Below are 21,069 nucleotides of genomic sequence, written 5' to 3'. Positions count from 1 at the left end.
CTAGTGGAATTGTTGGTTGCAGTGTTTGCCTGACAGTTGCCAAGGATGTGAAATAAAACCCCAGGGCTGAACTTGGGGGGGAGGGGGGGCTCGTGGAAGTAGTTGGCCCCCCGGCCTCGAGCGGGGTGGATGAATAGCTCCGCACCGGGACCGTGTGGGCTGTGTGTGCGCGCTGGAGAGAGTGGAGGGGAAGGGGTTAAGGCGGAGATGACACTGCTGGCATGAATAGTGCTCCTGGTGCTACATTCATTATTGTCTCTGGTCGTAATGATGTGTAACTGTCACTTGCTACAGTGCCTGGTCCATGCAAGTAGCCAGGGGCTGGCCGGTGGCTGTTATTTTCAATTACGGGGGACCTGGCCGGAGTTGACAAGGGGCAACTTTGTACGTCCACCCGGGCCGGGAACCCGCAGAGCCGGCCTGGGAGCCACTTCTTGCCTCAGAAGCTCACTCTGAGGGTTCAGACTTGACCTCCGCGACATTAGTTGGTGTTCACGTTAGATGCTCCCCTACGGGGAGAATCAGTCCTGCTTTTGTTGGGTAGCGAGCTGTCTGCAAGAACTTTGAAAACTTTTATCTTTGGGGAAAAGGGTGGGGTGCACTCAACAGTTTTGTTTCGCAGTGCATTTGAGGCAAATGCTTGGAAAAAGTACCAATTCCTTTGTTATATGCCCTGCAGCTTCCCAACCCCCTTCACCCTGCGCTTCGAGTTTTGCATACTTTAATAGTAATAGTCTTATTTCAGCTGATAAAAGCTGACTGTGTTGAGTTAAAGAGTATTAATACAACGGAATGTGTAATCTGGATAAACAGTTTGCGTAGTTAGTATTGTCAGCACTCTAATTTAACTGTATAGATGGCTAAAGTGTCGTTCTGTATGGATTGTTTTAGATAATTCCACTGGCTAATGGAATTCTCGGCGAGCACTCTGATATTTTATTTTACACCAGCGTTAAGATTCTCTGTTTCCCTGTAACATCGGAGAGACGAGCAACTCTATTTACATTTAGTGCGTGTGCATCTAGTGACTTCGGTAGACATCTGCCAATCAAATACACGTCATTCTGCAAAACCACCTAGACGCCTCCATGCCCTTTTCTTACTGGACGATAGAGTTGTTTAGATAAGTAAATGCTTTGAAATAAATTTGGTGGCTTTTAGCAAGAAGCAGCTTGTGATGGGAATAGGAGTGGTCACTTTGAGGAGTGGGTGTATACCGTCTTCTAAGAAACGCTTTTAGAACTGACATTTATTTAAAACAGTGGACCCCCCCTCCCTCAAGGAAAAAAGCTTGCTTGTGCTATTCTCAGACCTCATTCACATGTTGTGTGCATTTTTTAAGACCACATAGAAATTGGTTCCGATAAAGGAGTATACTTTTAGGTTAGAAAATTTCAAACTGTAGAAGCATAGTGGAAATAGGATGTTGAAGGACAGACGTTTCAGTTGGGTAAGTTATATCTTTATTGTTGCAGACGGGTCTTGATACTAGATTGAATATATTAAGCTCCTTTGAGTTGGGGAAAGAGCAATTTGAGCATATAAAAATTAGGAAAGCAGTTTATTATTCTGCCAATTTAATAACTATTATGAAATGTACTGGGAAAATTTGAAATTTGAAATGTTTTCACATAAAATTTTCATAATTTTGAACTAAGACCATGTAACCAACATGGCTATGTCAGGTTAAACAAAACATTCTTGAGGGTTTCTGTTTATTTTTGAAAACCTTCAGTTATTTATCTACTACTTAGCAATGCAGTCAGCTGAACTTTATTGTGGAATGCTTTTTATTACTGTTTATTGAAAAAAATTGTTGTGCTAATGAGTCCTTAATATTCTCCACCTCCCACTCCCCAGAAGTTCTTTTTACAGCAATGACTATCATTTGGGAGTAAATGGTCCTGGTATAGCATTTGAGACCTTGACCTTAGCAACTCTTGGCTGGTGGTTGTTTACTACAGCTGCAGCCTATGTGTGTGCTGAAAGGGAAGGTCTGCAAACACTAGTGTACTCACTCTCCCCAGGCCAAAGGGAGAACAAATCGGGATGCTTGACGTTCATTCTGAAGAACATGCATCTGGCCTGTAATATCCATCGTGTTCTGGTCATGTGAAAATATACATGTTGCTCAGGGATATTTTCCCTGACTCCTGTTCAGGGAAAGTATGCACTTTAACAGGCTCCAGTGAGTTTTAGATGTTACAGTATATCATGAAACAGGCTGTTATCAACTTACTGAAATAATTTGGCCTTAAATATAGGTGTGTTTTATCTCTGCAGAGACAACGTAAGTGCTTAGGCCTCTAGGCCTATGCTGAGAGCATTTTGAATTCAAGCCAGTGTTGGTTAATCTAGAGTTTGGGGTAACCTTACCCAGTGAAGGCATATTGTTAAGTAGATGAACATATAGAGGTCCTGGACATTTTTTCCATTGTACAACATGGAAAGCATGGGACTTTATGTTTTTGCAAATTAATAATATTACAATGATCACATTAAATTGGAGTGTCAAATGGTTTGTTTTCTTTATATTGTGAGAGAAGCAGTCAAGTTCATAAATCTAGCTGTAGATTGTGTATTAAACTATAAAACTAGTAATGGCACAAACTCATTTGAAAAGTTTTTGTTTATAAGTTTTTCTGCTTGCCACTTGCATGCTGATTAATGAACATGAGCTAAAATCCCAAGACAGTTTTATTCAAAATCAACACCATTATTACCTTTTCTGCTTAGAAAACAGCTTTTTTTTTTTTTTTGAGTTGAGGTCTCACTCTGTCACCCAGGCGGGACTGCAGTGGCATCATCATAGCTCAAATTCCCGGGCTCAAGGGATCCTCCCACCTTAGCCTCCCAAGTAGGCAGGACTACAGGTGCACACTGCCACACCCAGCTAAAAATTTTTTTGTAGACACGGGGTCTTAACTGTGTTGTCCAGGCTAGATCCTGAATTCCTGGCCTCAAGCAAACCTCCTGCCAAAGTGCTGGGATTATAGGCATCAGCGACTGCGCTGGCTACAAGTTTAATTTTTAAAATAAGTCTGAAATAGGTTGTAGTTGCTTATCTGTCATTTTCTATTTGAAAATACTGTATGATCATAGACTGGAAATGGCTTATATTTTTGCCCAGTGTTTATTTTTCCTTTCAAACTCACACTTACTTGTTTTTCGGCCTGCAATTTATGCACAGCTTTGAACTTTTAACTGTGTACAGAATGTAAGGGTAAAAATATTAAAATTAAATCACTGGCAACGCCCTATAACCACAGCCTTAACTCATCTACCACAACCACTCCTCCCAAAAGCAAGCAAGTAAACAGATGGGCCTTGCCCTATGCCCAGAAGGTCAACAGTCTTAGGCTCTGTTAGACCTGCTAAGTTTCTGGATCCCAAGCCCAGCCCAGAGAGCTGCCTGACTTCCACCCGCCAGAATTCATTTTTAGGGCCTAGGTCGGCCACACCCCATCTGATGTCAGCTATTGAGTTCTTGTGGTAGAGAACACATGCTGTGGATTAAATGGTTACTTTCTCTCTATATTGTCAGTAATTATGTTACAAAAGGATTTTTCCGTTTTGGGTGTTTATTGTCATAAAGTGGCTACTTGAGTAGTCTTATTGCTCCATAAAAATTTGTTTTGGTCGGCAGTAGATTACAGGATATTCACCCAAAGAATTCTGCTCTGGTATGGTCTTTCTTCCTGTCTTTTTTTTTTTTTCAACTTAAAGTCATGTGTTTCTTTTGTTGCTACTCTCATGGTCTACATTTTTGAATATTTATTAGTGTAATAATTAGACTGCTCCAAACACATTTGCTGTCTGGTGCAGAAGTAGCAGGAAGCCCTTACTGCTGTACTGCTGCATGGAAGGTGAGAGTGGAATAAATTAGGAGACCTTTGGGATAGTTTCCCCACCACTATCAGTGACTGTAGAAGCTACCACGATAACTACCTGCTGGCTTTGACAGCCATGAATTGTGTCCCAAGTGTGACATTTGCCATGCTTCTCAGTATATATGGCCTTTCACAGTAATTCCTGGCATGATGTATATGTATACAGTTGGCCCTCTTTATTCGTGGGTTCTGCATTAAGGGAGTCAATCAATTGTAGATTGAAAACGTTCAAGAAAAAAATACAACAATAAAAATGATACAAATAAAATCATAACTTTATATAGCATTTACATTGTATAAGTGATTGTAAGTAATCTAGAGATGATTTAAAGTATGTAGGAGGATGTGCACAGGTTATATGCAAATACTGCATTATTTTTTATAACGGACTTGAGCATCCATGGATTTTGGTATCTGCTGTGGGATGGGATCCTGGAGTCAACCCTCCAAGGGTACTGAAGAATGACTACATACTGTATATACATATATATTCATCATCTTATATATCTATATGTGTATGTGTATATTTAGTATTTATCTTTATATGTTTTTACATGTGTTTTTGTAGTCTATATCTATATTAGTACATAACCCACCCACACACACCATACACAAGAGCAAGAATTACAGTAAAATTTCATGACCGAGAAATACAGTAAAAAGCCACACGTGTGTATAAAAAAGGGGGAAAAACAGTCTTTAAAAAAAATTCTATCTTTAGTAATACTGTGCTCACTTTGAAATTATCGAGCTAACTTGTAACAAAAGAAAAACAACCCTGCCTTAAAGAAAACAAACCTAAATGGCAACCAAGTTAAATTATTCGAAAACAATGTAAAGAAAACCTTCCTTCATTTCACAATGAATGGTAACCTCTAAGATGATACATCCTTGAATCACAACTAATTTCAGTGGCAGAAATATCTCAGTTCGATTCTTACTCTCTTGCTTGCTAACTATGGATGACCTTGGTCAAATTTCTTAACCTCTCTGAGTTTATACAATGGAAAAAATAATATGTAGTTTACAGGGCTGTGGTGAGGGTTAAATGGGGTAATGTGGCCAAAAGTCACTTTGTAAAACTACAAAGTTCTTGTGTGGCAACTGATTTGATAGGAAAAGCACTCCAGCCATACCTCCACCGCCCCCACACTGCCCTCCCCTGAAAGGGATAAACTTTCCTGTTTCTCAAAGTGAGCATATAAATTACACTTATGGGGAAGGAATTTCCGAGTGTGGGTAGAAAACTCTGGCAGTCAAAGGTCATGAATTCCATTCCTGTCTCACCAGAGATTTGCTCTGTGACCTTGAGAAAGTCACTCTTAAAAAGTTTCAACGTAGCTGGTATAAAAGTTACTGATTATTAACATTTATATAATACAGGTGAAGTATCCAAGCTTGTCAAAAGAAAAACACATGAAATTACAGTTCACATGATCATTTACAGAAAATTGAAAATAAAGATGAACAATGATTAGAGATTGAAAATCTGCAGGCTACTTCTTTAATGAGTCACCTGAAGCTTCTATCAACTGGTCATTAAAAAGAATGCCCTTAATTTTAAAAATAGAATTATTAAATTTGTGATATACTATAATTTCAAGCAGTACATTGAACTGCAAATCCCCAGTTAAATCAAGATTGTGTTGATTAAGCTATGTCTGATTTATGGCTTAAAAGTCACTTGGTTAGACTCAAACATTGTTGCAACATGCTATATGTTATTCTTAACTAACATTATACAAAATGCACAATAAAGGTAGATAATGAGGATCTTACACGTTATTTGTACATTTATTGAATACCTATTTATAATCACGCATGATTTCTCCGCAACTGCATTTTCTCCAGTTAAAAAAGAAACAAAAACAATTTTTTTAAACCCTTGCAAGAGCAAAGAAACAAACTCAAACTATCTCTTCAATATAACTGATTTAGACTCTTTCCATGTTACAGGTATCTTGCCTGACTCCAATTCATGTTACAATTATCACTGCAAACATCAGCATCACTTTTTGTGGGACTCTCTTATTTATCATCCCCTGCTTTAAGAATACACTGTGTTCCGGTTGGTATTCTCGGGCCCCACAACTCATAGTATTCCTTCTGGTGTTAATTGCTTGTTGATTTGCCTTGTTCTAAATGCCCCTATCATGGTCTTTTCCACCCTAAGTAGCTAAATATATTCAACGCTGTCAACCATTCCTCGATTCACTTTATTTCCCTGAAAAAATTTTTTATGTCTTCTTGCAAAAAGAAATCTTGTAGTATAGTAGAATTAAACCATGCTGCATTTATAAATATTTGCTCTAGTGTATTGATGGCTCTCTTAAAAGCTGCCATTCAGGCCGGGTTTGGTGGCGTGTGCCTGTATTCCCAGTTACTTGGGAGGCTGAGGCAGGAGGATCCCTTGATCCCAGAGTTCAGGGCTACAACGAGCTATGATCAATTGAGCCAATGCACTCCAGCCTTGAAAACCCTGTCTCTAAAACAACAGTAACAACAAACAGCCATTCAGAGTAAATAGTAGGTACAAAATAAAATACTCCTTATTGTATACCTAGTATAATACAGAAGTTAAGAACTTGGTTTTTCATATGTTAGTGTGTTTAATATGTACTCTTTAGTAAACAGGTACTGGTAGCCCTTGGCTTTTATATCATTGACTTTTCAAATAACTGGCACATGGAATACTATACGTGTCACCTCTGAAATGCCATTTATATACTGGATTTTGACTTACGAACATCATTTGATGAATGCCTTTTTTGGGCTGTTTGTGTTGCTGTCTTGCCAAGTAACCCCCACCTGCTACAGAACTGTGACTTTGCCACTTTTGGCAAAAATTTCAAAAATTATTTGGAAAATTTTATTGCTTTTTACCTTATTTTAACAAAACAAGTGGAAAAAGGGGAAATGAAAGCATCTAGTTATGAGAAAGTTTATTATCTTGATATAAAATTGAGACAATAATCATTAGATGTGCTGAAAGTGATGAATCTTTATTGGAAGTGCTGCATGGAGTTAAGCTGATGAATTGTGAAAAAAATTGTGAAAAAAATGAAATAGAACACAAAAAATACAAATACTTTTAATGACTAATAGATTGTATATAATGGCAGATTTTGTGATTTTCCTTTTGTCTGTGAGAATGAGTCTCCTTTAAAACATGTCTGGTCCCTTCACTTCTGCATATTTGAGTTTTGTATGCTTTCAGGAGAAAACGTACAAAATCTCATACAATTATTAGATTCCATCCTTTATTAAATAAATATTCAATGATATTTGTATAATATAGGTATAGTAATCCTCATAGCCTATGTATCATATGTATTTGTATCATTTAATATATATTTGAATCGTACAACTTATATGTCATGTATAGTATATGTTATATGACATGTAATACAGCACATATGTGCTATATGCACTATGTTATGCTTTCTGTTTTATTGTTGGACTCTTATGAACTGTATTATGATTTTTATTTCATAGATGTGGAAATTGATTTTCAGCAAAGTAAAGTAATGAAATTATAGTGAATAGCCAGTTAGCTGTAGAGAGCTGAACGCTAGAAAGCCCCCTGGACTTTCCCCTTGTGTTACTCCTACCTCCCTCTATCATTAAACGTAATATTCCAGAGTTAGCCTTACTGTAGAATAAAGCAAAAGTGGAAGGATTATACAAATAAATATGGTTTAGAGGCTGTATTATTATATTTGTTGTAGATCATATTGACATACTGTGTTTACTAGAATACGTTTACTACAAGATATACTTCAATAAAGAAGTCAATTGTTTGCTGATATATGTAGTAAAACAAATTATGATACCTTATCCAAAAAATTATTTTAGAAGTAAACTGCTATAGGATGTTCTGCAGCAGTGGTAATAGTAGACCAATAAATTCTGGCTAATATGCATTCTGCTATTGGATAAAGCTATCAAAGTTAGGGACATAATACAAATAATAATAACGTTATTTTTATTAGAACATGCCTCAGTTATCCGTTTGACTTACACGTATTTAGCTCCTACTACATCTATAGACCCTTATATGAAAATGGGTAGCACAATATCCAGTATCGTTAGTGAGCTGAAAATCAAGGAGGGTGGGGTAAGAATTATGTGGCACATTATAATGTAAGGTAATTTGTGATAAATGGACCAAGTGCTGTAAGTTGTTTAAAGCACCTGGGGAAAAATTGTTTCTATCTGGGAAATTGAGGTTTCAGGGTTTTAGTAGATATATGGAAAAGATTCGTTATATAAACAGTGTGTATGTGTATCTTTTTATATAAACAGTGTGTTTTTTAAATATAAACTGTGTGTGTGTGTGTGTGTGTGTATATATATATATTTTTTTTTTTGAAACGGAGTCTTGCTCTGTTGCTCAGGCCGGAGTGCAGTGACACCATCTCAGCTCACTGCAACCTCTGCCTCTTGGGTTCAAGCAATTCTCCTGCTTCAGCCTTCCGAGTAGGTGGGACTCAGGTGTGTGCCACCATGACCAGCTGATTTTTTGTGCTTTTAGTAGAGACGGGTTTCACCATGGTGGCCAGGCTGGTCTCCAACTCCTGACCTCAAGTGATCCACCCGCCTTGCTGCTGGGGTTACAGGTGTGGGCCAACATACGCGGCCCAGTTTATATTTTTTAATAGAAAAAGCAAACCTGCTAATGGATGAATGCAAATTAAAAACATATTTTGGCAGCTGTGGTGATTTCCCTCTTATTTTTTTCTGTTATCTTTTAGAGCTGATGGTTTTATGGTGTTTTGGCAAATTTTTATCATTTGCCGTATCACCAGGAAGTTTTCTTTTCCAAAAATAGATTCTAGGATATGCTTGGCCAATAGGGTATATGGTGTTATAATGAGTTTACAGATGGTTTATTTGGGCTACAAAAGCAAAGAAAGTTGACTGATGAATACAACTTTAAATGCACTTTATGTGATGCTGTCTAATGAAGGTCTTCCATATTTTTGAAAAAATGTGTAGTATTTTACTTTTAAATGATCGGAATTTTAACTTTGACAAAAAAATCTTTTAAATAATGGGAATATTTAGTTTGTATTAAAATATTATTTAAATATTAAGAGGAATACAATTTTGTAAAACGTGAGAACAATGGAAGGAAAAACTTGAAAACATAAATTTTGCAGAAGATCATAGTTGCAGTTTATCAGAAGTGTTGCTTGAAGGGATATTTAGAAGCTTGAAGTAGGTGGATATTTCAAGGCTAACAGACTTTGGAATATGCATTAGCTCTTCTGCTTTAGATATGAATACAAGTAACTTTAGCAAACACAAAATATTTCATTGAAGAAAGAAATGAACTCAATGAGTCGATTAAAAGCATTAATGGAATTTTTTTTTAGCACTATATTGAGTGTGGTGGAATTATACCAAGGCTTTAGGCTGAGGCCGTTACCTTGTGTTTTGTTTATAAATAACAGTAATTAAGACAGTTTAGAATACTTGATAAGTATGGGCTAACAACAACAACAACAAAAATTGCTTTGTGCCTGGTGGTTTAGAGTGGATTTAGTTTCATCTTGATAGTTCTGTATGGTGGATTGAACACATGTTACCCATGTAACTGATGAGAACACTAAAATCAGGAGAAGGTAAAAGTCTAGAAATTGGCAGAACTAGAACCCTAATTGCCAACACCAGTAAAATAGTTTTTTCCCATTGCATAATTACTACTGTCTTTCTGACTTTCATTTAGTCTCGATAAGTAAAAACTTTGCAAGTCCACATTACATAAAAGAAGTGTCACTAGTGTCTAGCTCATATGAAATGCCCAGTGAATATCAGATGAATTTTTACCTTCTTCCAAAATGCACTTTAAAAAGGTAGAAAGAATCCATATGTAACAGCCCAGAGAGATCAACCCGTTGACCCTGGAATAGAGAGTGTGCAGTTAGAGACATCCATACTCTTTGAAGAAAGTTAGGGCATTTACCATGTGCCAAGGCTTGTGCTAGGTGCTGTAAATACATACGTAGATAAAACATGGGCTTTGTCCTACAATGTAGGCAGATCAAGAAAGAAGCAGGATAGCTAAGCCGAAAGGCAAGCCCAAGCTGATAGATTCTGGATTAGTTTATTTCTTTTAGATCTTTAATGTGCCTAGAAGGTACCCTGGATATTTTTAGATTTATGCCGTAGTCTCTTTGGAGTACTTTTAATCTTACTAGAAAAACTTTTCCTATTTAGGTATGTAGTTTCGTAAGTTTTTTCTTTCAAAAACTTTTTGCACATTTTTTTAATCTTAAATGTGTATAATACATTTTAAACGCATTTCATTTTATGTTTCCAACCAACACACAGATAGGTATTTATGATATTGACGTGTGATTTATTTTTATCTTTTTATTTCTGTGACTCTTTAAGTTTTCAAAGAAACACAACTGAAGATCGTTAGAAAATAAGCATTGTTTTGCAAAAGCTCGCTTTAATGGGCATTGTTTACAAATATATTATTCTGATAAAAGTGGGTATACTTGTATGGAAACTTTTAAATTCATTCTTTTTTTTTTTTTTTTTTTAGTGACCTGTTTTGTCTTTTACTTAGTTCTTTTTCTTCTAGCCAAAACTAGCATTCCATTAGTCCATAACTTATGTTTTTAGCACGATTATGTGTCCTTTTATATTTTTATCCATGTTCTTAAGCGTTAGGAACACATACACAGTTTTTAGTCACTGCTTACAAAAATGGAAGGAGTTTTTTTGAAACTCTTTTATCTTTTTTTGTTCAGTGCTGCCTAAGAGAAATCCTTCTCAGCTGCTACTGTTCTAATCAATTAAAAATTTGTTATATTGTATTCCAAGGAGTGGTTATTTCATAGTCTACTCACTCATTTATTAGAGGGAAATACTGTGTTTCCAGTTTTTGTCGCTTTTAAACTAATGATGTAATAAATAACTTTATGGGTATCTTCTGAGAGACCTAAAGAATAGATTCCCAGGGATAGGACCATCCATTCAAGATGTATCAATTTTCATAAATGTTGCCACATTGCTTTGACAAGGATATAGTAATTCATATTATTACCAGCAATGCAGGCAAATACGCTCTCCCCAATCACCATCAGTAATAGTTCATGTTTCCCAGTCTGATAATTGTGTGGTAATATCTTACTGTTACTGGAATTAGTATTTTCTGATTGTTAGTGACTTTGAACATCTTTTGTGATGTTTGTAGGAAAATTAGAATTATTCTAAGAATTGTCCTTTCATATTCTTTGCCCATTTAAAAAAATTGGTTATTGTCCTTTTGTGGGAATTCATTTTATATTAAAGCCACTAACCATCTGCCTGACATCTCCATTGCAAGTAATTTTTTTCATAAGCTGATCTTTTATCTCTTGCCTGTTCAAGAAGTATCTTTTGAATACAACCTTTAAAATATATAAGCAATTCCTTCTCTTTCTCTCTGGTGTCCTGTTTTAAGGTTTTCTCCATTGATAAAGTAGGCATGTAATCTCCTCACTAGATTTAATTTTCCCCCCCATTTTTGTCTTTAATCTATTTGGAATTTATTGTTGTATATGGTATAAGAGAGGGAGTCTACTTTTTAATTTCAGAGCATAGACATACCATTGTATCAGCAGCAATTTTGAGGTAGTCTTTTTCTTTTTCCAGAGAATATAAATTTCACATTTGTCATGTAATGTTTTCATATATCCAGTAGTACCTGGATTTCTTTATAAATTTTCTTAGGTATTCTAATACTTGCAACTAGCATTCATATGTGAGGAATATTTTATCCATCATCACACCTCTCCTGGGATAAAAAAATTCAAAAACCCTGTTGTGATTTTAATTGGGATTGCATTAAATTATATATATTCTTGGGATAATTAACATTTTAATGTTATTTGCAATGCATTATATTATCTCAATTCAAGAATGTAGATGTTTTTCATTTGCTCGTGTTTTATTTTTTATATTTCAAAAATATGCATTGCTTACATAAGCTTTGATCTTATGCATAGCTGGATTTGATTTTTAAGAGTGTTTTTGTTTGCTTGTTTGTTTTGTTTTGTTTAATGGGATAATGGTCATTAGCTTTTTTCTTTTCTTTTAATGTATTCATCTGATACTGGTTTCAGGGTATTCATAACGTCGTATAATGAGTTGGGAAGTTTTTCATTCTCTTCTATTTTTTGGAATACTTTGTGTAGAATTGGTACTATTTCTTCCATAAAAGTATGGGAGAATTTACTGGAGAATTCTATATTGTTCTATATTGTTACTGATTTTTTGACTCCTTATTCTGTCAGTTATTGGGAAAGTATTGAAGTACAGTTGTGAATTTCTGTAATTCTCTTTTCAGTGCTGTCAGTTTTTGCTTTATGTATTTTGAAACTCTGTTATTAGGTGTGTGCACATCAGGATTGTTGTGTTTTCTTAGTGAATTGACCTCTGTTCTTACCATCTCTAACTTTTATTTGGAGTGTTTTGGCAATTTAATGTAAAATACTTTTTGTATAATTGGGTTTCTGGAACTTGCTATTTGTTTTCTATTTTTCTCTTTTGTTCCCTCATAGTCACCTGTATCTTGCTCTATTTGGGCTTGATTATTTTTTAGTATTTTATATAATCTTCTTTATTGGCTTATTAGTTAATCTGTTTGTTTTGTATTTTTAGTAGTGACTCTAATATACATCATTAACTTCTCACAGCCTACCTTCAGGTAATACTTTACCTTACTGTATGATAGCAGAATCTTAGTATATTGCCATTTTTTTCTCTTTCATTGTTTGTGCTATTTTCTTCATATATTTTACTTATACATGTTATAGCCTATCCATCCTGGCTACTGTGTTTGCTTTAAATAATAAGTTACCTTTAATACAGATTCAATATCAGACAAAAATATGTTTTAAAATTCTTGCTCATATTTTTGCTAGTTCCAGGGTTTTTTTTATTTCTTTATGTAGATATGTTTTTATATAGTATCATATTAATTTTACCTAAATAAATTCTTTCTTTACCTAAATAATAATTTTTTATTTTTTATTTTTTTGAGACAGTCTCGCTCTGCCACCCAGGCTGGAGTGCAGTGACGCAGCCTCAGCTCACTGCAACCTCTGTCTCCTGAGTTCAAACAATTCTCATGGCTCACGCTCCTGAGTAGCTCCTGATAGGCGCCTGCCACCACGCCTAGCTAATTTTTGTATTTTTAGTAGAGACAGGGTTTCGCCATGTTGGCCTGGCTGGTCTTGAACTCCGGACCTCAGGTGATCCGCCCACCTTGGCCTCCCAAAGTGCTGGGATTACAGGCATGAGCCACTGTGCCTGGCCTACTTAAATAATTTCTTGCAGTGCAATCTGCTGGGAATGACATTTCTCAGCTCTTGCTTGTGTAAAGGTATCTATATGCTTTGGTTTCTGAAGTGTTTTAGGTGGGTATTCAATTCTGGGTTGACAGTTTTCCACCATTACGTTAAAGATATTGCTCCAGTATCCTCTCATTTATATACTTCTGAAAAGATATCTTTTGAAATTCTTTTTTTTTTTGTCTATATGTAATGTTTCTTTTTTTTCTTTTCTTTGGCTGCCTTCAGGAGTTTTTTCTTTAACTTTGGTTTTCAGCAGTTTTACTATGATGCATATAGGTGTGTTATCATTTATAATTATCATGTGTTGGATTCTCTAAGCTGCTTTATTGTTTTTCTTAGTTTTTCAGAAATTTCTACCCATTACCTTTTCAGTGTTTCTATTGCTCTCCCTCCCTTCTCTTCTCTTTTCCCTTTGGACTATGTTGACAAGCGCATTAGACTACTTGGTATTGCCCCACAAGTCTTGAATCTTCTGCACCTCTCCCCCATCTATTCAAGTTTTAGTCTGAATAATTTGTATTGATCTGTCCTCAAGTTTCCTAATTCTTCCTGCTGTGTCAGGTCTGTTGTTAGCTCAGTGAAAGAATTCTTAATTTTTCATAGAAGTTATTTGCCTAGCATTTTTTATGACCCCTTTGCTTAATTTCTCTGTTCATGCATGTTCTACCCTTTCCTCTAGATTCTTTTACATCTTATATTTATTTTGCAACTCTCAATTTGTTAGTTTCAGTATCTCTGCTATCTCAGGGTCTGCTTGTGTTGACAGGTTTATCTGTTGACAGTGGGTAGTTTCTTGCTTTGTTTTTCTGTCTTGTCTTTTTTTTTTTTTGCGATAAGAGTCTCGCTGTGTCACCCAGGCTGGAGTGCAGTGGTGTGATCTTGGCTCACTGCAGCCTCCGCCTCCCAAGTTCAAGTGATTCTCTGCCTCAGCCTCCCAAGTATCTGGGATTACAGGCACGTGCCACCACACCTGGATAATTTTTGTATTTTTAGTAAAAATGGGGTTTTGCCATGTTGGCCAGGTGGGTCTTGAACACTTGGCCTCAGGTGATCTGCCTGCCTTGGCCTCCCAAGTTACTGGGTTTACAGACATGAGCCATTGTGCCCTGCCCTTGTAATTTTTGATTGACTTCCTGCCATTATATATAAGAGAACAGTAGATACTGAGATAAATAATTATTATGGTAAGAAGTTGATGTATTATTATTGTCTTCCTTTTATTTGTTTCTTTTTCTCCTTTAGTTTTCTCTTCACGTGTTTGGTCTCCTGGATCTTTCAAGTACTACATCTTTTCTTTCATTATTTTTTCTCTTTGTAGTCTTTGTTCTTGGGAAGAGGTCTGTGTTTGTGTGTGCACATGAGCATGTGCAGCTTCCTATCTTAACAGACTTGCACCCTCTTACAATTAAGATGTTGGAAAGGTTGATTTGTAAATTGGGTTTTGGCGGGGGTGATAATATATCACAGGGACTGGTTTAATTCCATTTTCGTATCAGTTTTGAAACTTTTTGACCATAATTTAATAAATGTAATGTGAGAGTGCATTTCTCTTTCATTGCCTCCACCTACCAGCCTTTGCAACTGAGTCAGCCACTTTGTCCTTCATTCTCTTATCTACCAGGAAATAGATTAACATAATGTATGGAAAGTCACACCATTCAGAGGAAACCAGATTTCCTTTACAACATAACTAATAAAGCACTTAAAAAGTTTTTTGTGTTTTTGATGCGTAAGAATTTTATTTAACAATGTAACAAACTTTGCAAAGTTCATTAAGCATTGTGAGACGTGTGGCTTTTATTTAAAGAAGGTTGACTAAATCATAGACATTTAAAAGATTTTGAAATATCTCTTTTATTATGAGAAATTTTAAACATATACAAAAGTAGTGAGAATAGTATAAGAAACCCTCATGCACCCAGACTTAACCTTAACAATTCTCAACATTTTGCCATCTTGTTTCATAAATCTCTGGCCTCACTCACCCTGAACAACTAATTTCAGACATATAATTTTACCCATAAATACTTTAATATATTTGTCTAGCAGATAAGGACTTCAAAAAGCACATACACACACATACAAAAACTAACAATGTGTAATGACACTTAGTAGAATTACCATGGCGTTGTTTATCAAGACCAGGAAACCAACATTGGTAGGTTATTGTTGTTTGGATCTCACTGGCTTTTCCATTAATGTCTACTTTCTCTTTTAGGATACAAACAAGTACCATATTGCTTTGAGTTGTTACACCTGTTAAGTTTTCTGTTTTGTGGCAGTTTCTTAGTCTCTCTTTTTATTTCATGACCTTAAGAATTTTAAGGAGTACTGGTCAGGTATTTTATAGGACGTCCTTCAGTTTTGGTTCATCTGATGCTTTTCTCATGGTTAGACTGGCTTAGGGGGTATTGGAAAACAATATCACATAGGTGACGAACCCTTCTCAGTGTATCACATCGGGGTATCATTGTATCATATCATGATATCCACAAGATACCACTGATGATCTTAACCTTAATTACTTGGTTAAAGTGGTATTTGCCAAGCTTCTCTACTGTAATTTTTTTCCATTTCCTTACTCTGTTCTGTGGAAGTGAGTCACTAAGTCTTGCCTACTCTTAAGGAATAACTACATATCATGTTTAGAATTCTATAGATTATTTTGTTCTCCCCCATTTATTTTTAAATTTATATTGGCATGGGTACATGCGTATATATCTTACATGTGGAGTCATAAGCTAATACTGTGTTAGTCTCTTATTTAGATTTTTCTGGTTTTGACCAAAGACCACTTTCAGATTTGCTCTTGTGGCCCAGTGACATCCCCTTGTCCTTTTGTTTTTGAATACTTTGTTAACTTTCTGGTATTACAGGATACTCCAGGCTCATCTCATATTTTCCCTGCCACAGCTACCAAATCAGCCAATCCTTCAAGGGTCTCTCATTTCATTGTAGAATGATATCTAGAAACCATGGACTGGGTGCTGAGTGTTCTTTTTGCTACCAGGGTAGATGCTGTTCTAATTGTGAATCAAGTTGATCAGAATCAGTCTTTCTTTAAACCTTATTTTTTTAATAAACTGATAAATAGAGGAAATACCAATAATTCTGTTTGAAATTATTACATTATTTTGGCTAATTGACTGGAATTTTCATAACTTATGTTGCGATAAGAGTAGAGAAAATAGATTTTTTACCAAATCTTGCAGCAAGTTGATTGACATTTTTCTTACGTTTGCTCTTGGCTAACTTTTCATTATCTTGGTTCCCTGGTATGGTGGGATATTAGGGATGTTTTATTTGAAGAGTTTGAGTCTATGGATACATTATATTGCCAGCATTATTTTATAATCTGCTAGATAGTACTATATTAATAGTTAATTGGTCCCTTCAGTTAATAATGTAAACCTTGAATAGAACAATTATTTCAGGCCTAATTATAGTTTATAGAAGTTTTGAAATTTCTATCCTAGTTTCCAACCCTAATTTGAAGATCATAGCAGTCTTTGATCTTTGTAAGATTAAAATACTTTCTGAAAAGTTCTGCTATGACATCTTAAACTGTGTCTAGGAAACAATCATAGCCATGGGAATCAACTTATTCTCAGTGAATGTTCATGATGTGCAAGGGATTGTGTTTCAAATGAAAGCCTAAAATCTTGAGAGGTAAGGCTTTAAACACTTAAATTTCCTGTAAGGATAAATTCTTAGTAGTTTGGCTTTCTACCATTCATGTAAAACTACACGTGCTGTAAAATGTTCATGGCCACGTATAAAGAATTTAAAGAAATTGAAACTTCACTTAAAGCAGGTTCCCACTCGATGTGAATAAGAGTGTTTCTTTGTGAGGAAGAAAATATATCTCTGGCCTTTTTTCCCTAGGAGCAAAGAAATGGTCTCCAGTGATCTGTCATTGGGCATTGTGTTAAGTAATCCTTAGTAATTTCTTAGTAAAAAAAATGCTGGTGAAGCTTTCTGGCTATGCCTCAGTGGTTCCTTTTCAAAGAGGATATTAGCAGAGAAGGGAAGAAATTAAGTTTTCCTGTTTCCACTTTTCCTCATTTTTGGGTTTATCTATAAGTTTATTTCATGTGGGTGTAAGGTAAGAAAACTGAGCACATGTTTACTGTATGGCAGCGATAGAGTGTGGAATGGTAAATCTCAGTAAGATATACCCACGTGTGAATCCTGGGAATATGTGAATATTGCCTTGTTTGGAAGGTGGTTTTTGCACGTGTAATTATGTTAAAGATGTGAGATGAGAACATCCTGGATTTCTCAGGTAAGCTCTAAATTCAGTGACAAGTGTCCTTACAAGCGTCAGAGGAGGAGAAGGCAATAAGAATACAGAGGCAGGGGTTGTAAGGATGTGGCTACAAGCCAAGGAATACCAACTAGTGCCAGCAGCCACCAGAGGTTGCAAGAGGCAAGGAAAAGATTTTTTTTTTTTTTTTTTGTCAGAGTTTTACTCTGTCGCCCAGGCTGGAGTACAGTGGCATGATCTTGACTCACTGCAACCTCTGTCCCCCAGGTTCAAGTGATTCTCCTTCCTCAGCCTCCCGAATAGCTGGGATTATAGGTACCTGCCATCACGCCTGGCTAATTTTTGTATTTTTAGTAGAGACAGGGTTTCACCCTGTTGACCAGGCTGGTCTCGAACTCCTGACTTCAGGTGATCCACCTGCTTCAGCCTCCCAAAGTGCTGGGATTACAGGAGTGAACCACCATGCCCGGTGGAAAAGATTCTTTTCTAGAGCCTTTGAAGGAGTTATGGCCTTGCTTTTCCCCTTCTCTACAACTGTGAGAGAATAATTTCTGTTGTTAGTCATCAGGTTTGTGGAAAATTGTTAGGGCAGCCACAGGAAATTAATCAGCTCACTATGGGCAATGTATTATGTGAAATGTTAGTGGTTATAAGGTCTTTGCTACCAGGAATTCAAAAATCTTTGAAAAGTAAACAAAAATATAATACAGTATTACAAGTTCTATAAAAAATAATTGTACAGAAAGTTCTGAAAGCTTTGAAGGGGATAACTAACTTTGTTAATTTGGAGGATTTAGAACAGTGGTCCCCAAACCCTTTTGGCACCAGGGCTGGTTTCATGGAAGGCAATTTTCCCACAGACTGGGAAAGAGTGGGAATGGTTTCTACCTTAGATCGTCAGGCATTAGATTCTCATAAGGAACATGCAACCTAGATCCTTCTCATGCACAGTTCACAGGTACTGGTCCATGGCCCCGGGGGTTGGGGCCCCATGATTTAGAGTATTCATTGAGAAAGAAGCATTTCTTCTGTGTTTGAATGACGTGTAAGACTATTTCTGGCAAAAAGGGAGTGGAGGATTAGAGGGAGGGGGACATGTGTATGAAATAGCACGTTATGCTCCTTTAAACCCCATCTGTGAGATGAACACCCATCTAAAACTTCAGTATTTTCAAGTATTGAGGGTAGATCAATTTCTGGAACCCACGTTGACAACTTGATGCTGCCATATCTCAGATTTTAATAGTGTGTCTCTGCTGTAAATATTATTAAAGATATTTTAAAAATTGCCTTTCATTCATACTTCATCCATTAATCTTCTGACTCAATCTCTTTGGCAGCTTAGAGTGTAGTATGATGTCAGTGACCCACATATAAGACCTTAATTATAGGCATACCTCAGAGATACTGTAGGTTTGGTTCTAGACCACTACAATAAAGCAAATATCTCAATAAAGCAAGTCACTAGAATTTTGTTTATTTCCCCAAAGCATAATAGTTATGTTTACATTATAATGACCTATTAAGCACAAAATAGCATTGTGATGAAAAAAAACCTACATGCCTTAAATTAATAATACTTCATTGCTAAAAAATGCTAACATTCTTTTGAACTTTAAATGAGTCATAATCTTTTTGCTGGTGGAGGGTCTTGCTTGGATGTTGATGGCTGCTGACTGATCGGGGTGGTGGTTCTGAAGGTTGGGGTGGCCATGGCAGTTCATCAGTGTTCACAGCATCTTCACCAGGAGTAGATTCCAACTCAAGAAACCACTTACTTTGTTTGTAAGAAGCAACTCCTCATCCATGAAAGTTTTATTGTGAGATTGCAGCAATTAAGTCACATTTTCAGGCTCTACTTCTAATTCTATTTCTCTTGCTGTTTCTACCACATCTTCAGTTACTTATTCCACTGAACTCTTGAACTTCTCCAAGTCATCCGTGAGGGTTGGAATCAGCTTCTTCTAAACTCCTTCTAATGTTGATATTTTGACCTCCTTGCATAAATCACAAATATTCTTAGGACATCTAGAATGATGAATCAGTTCCAGAAGGTTTTCAATTTACTTTGCCCAGATCCATCAGAGGAGCCACTATCTATGGCAAGTATATCTTTACATAACGTGTTTCTTAAATAATAAGGAAAGTTGAGGTAACTCCTTGATCCTTGGGCTGCAGAAAGGATGTTGTGTTAGGCATGAAAACAGCTTTAATCTAGTTCTACATACGTCTGTGTCAGAGCTCTTGGGTGACTAGGTGCATTGTCAACGAGCAGTAATATTTTGAAAGGAATCTTTTCTGAGCAGTACATCTCAATAGTAAGTTTGAAGTATTTAATAAACCATGCTGTAAGTAGATGTGCCATTATCCAGGCTTTGTTGTTCCATTTATAAAGCACAGGCAGGGTAGATTTAGCATAATTTTTCAGAATAGTGAGTGAGCATTGGCTTCAATTTAAAGTCACCAGATACATTATTCCCTAACAGTCAGCCTGTGCTTTGAGATTGTAAAGCCAGTCATTGACTTCTCCTCTCTAACTATATGAAAGTCCTCCATGGCGTCTTCTTGCGATAGGTTGCTGTTTTGTCTACATTGAAAATCTGTTTGTTTGTTTTTGTTTTTTAGTATATTCACCTTCATCAGTGATTTTAGCTAGATCTTCCGGATAACTTGTTGCAGCTTCCCCATCAGCATTTGCTGCCTCACCTTCTACCTTTATGTTATGCAGATGGCTTCTTTTCTTAAACCTCATGAACCAAACTCTTCCGGCTTCCAACGCAACTTTCTCACCTCCCTTGGTCTTTGCAAAATTAAAGAGAGTTAGGAGCTTGACCTGGATTAGGCTTTGGTTTAAGGGAATGTTGTGGCTGGTTTGAGCTTCTATCCAGACCACTCAGATTTTCTCCGTCATTAGCATTAAAGCTGTTTCGTTTTCTTATTCATGTTTTTGATGGAGTAACACTTTCAATTTTCTTCTGGAACTTTTGCTTGGCATTCACAACTTGGCTCTTTGGCACAAGAGGCCTGGCTTTCGGTCTGTCTGCTTTCATCCTGCCTCCCTCATTAAACTTACTCATTTCTAGTGTTGATTTAAAGTAAGAGACAGGTGATGCTTTCTTTTACTTGAACACTTAGAGGCCTTTGAGGTTTATTAATTGGCCCAATTTTAGTGTTGTTAAGTCTCCGGGAGAGAGATGAAGGAATTGCCAGTTGGTGGAGCAGTAAGAACACACACAACATCTATTTATCAAGTTCACTGTCTTAGAAGGTCAGGGTTTGTGTTGCCCCGAAGCCAGTCCCAATAGTAACATCAAAGATCACAGGTCACCAATACAGATGCAATAATAGAAAAGTCTGAAACATTGCAAGAATTACCAAAATGTGACACATGCTGTTGGAAAAATGGCACTAACAGACATGCTCGACTCAACATTGCCAAAAACTTTTAATTTGTAAAAAAACAAATCAAAACAAAACACACACACACACACACACACACACACACAGACAATATCTGCAAAGTGCAGTAAAATGGAATGTAACAAAATAAGGCATGCCT

The 21,069-nt window shown here is 36.4% G+C and overlaps 1 protein-coding gene across 15 annotated transcripts in view, besides 2 other annotated features; it reads left to right on the top strand.

Annotated features, from left to right (window-relative positions):
- Positions 1–21,069, top strand: part of KLF12 (KLF transcription factor 12) — a 619,957-nt gene that overhangs the window by 172,641 nt on the left and 426,247 nt on the right. The gene's annotated exons all lie outside the window — the stretch shown is intronic.
- Positions 264–313: an enhancer, noted in NCBI's record as "active region_7819". NCBI's record gives its function as "activates an Ori minimal core promoter by ATAC-STARR-seq in GM12878 lymphoblastoid cells {active_cell/tissue: GM12878}" and the evidence as "EXISTENCE:reporter gene assay evidence [ECO:0000049][PMID:35858748]".
- Positions 344–523: an enhancer, noted in NCBI's record as "active region_7818". NCBI's record gives its function as "activates an Ori minimal core promoter by ATAC-STARR-seq in GM12878 lymphoblastoid cells {active_cell/tissue: GM12878}" and the evidence as "EXISTENCE:reporter gene assay evidence [ECO:0000049][PMID:35858748]".

The sequence above is a fragment of the Homo sapiens genome, chromosome 13 (genome assembly GCF_000001405.40).
Source record: "Homo sapiens chromosome 13, GRCh38.p14 Primary Assembly".
In the NCBI taxonomy this organism is placed as follows: domain Eukaryota; kingdom Metazoa; phylum Chordata; class Mammalia; order Primates; family Hominidae; genus Homo; species Homo sapiens.
The sequence above is the reverse complement of the archived record's forward strand: the minus strand, read 5'-3'. Positions and strand labels throughout refer to the sequence as shown.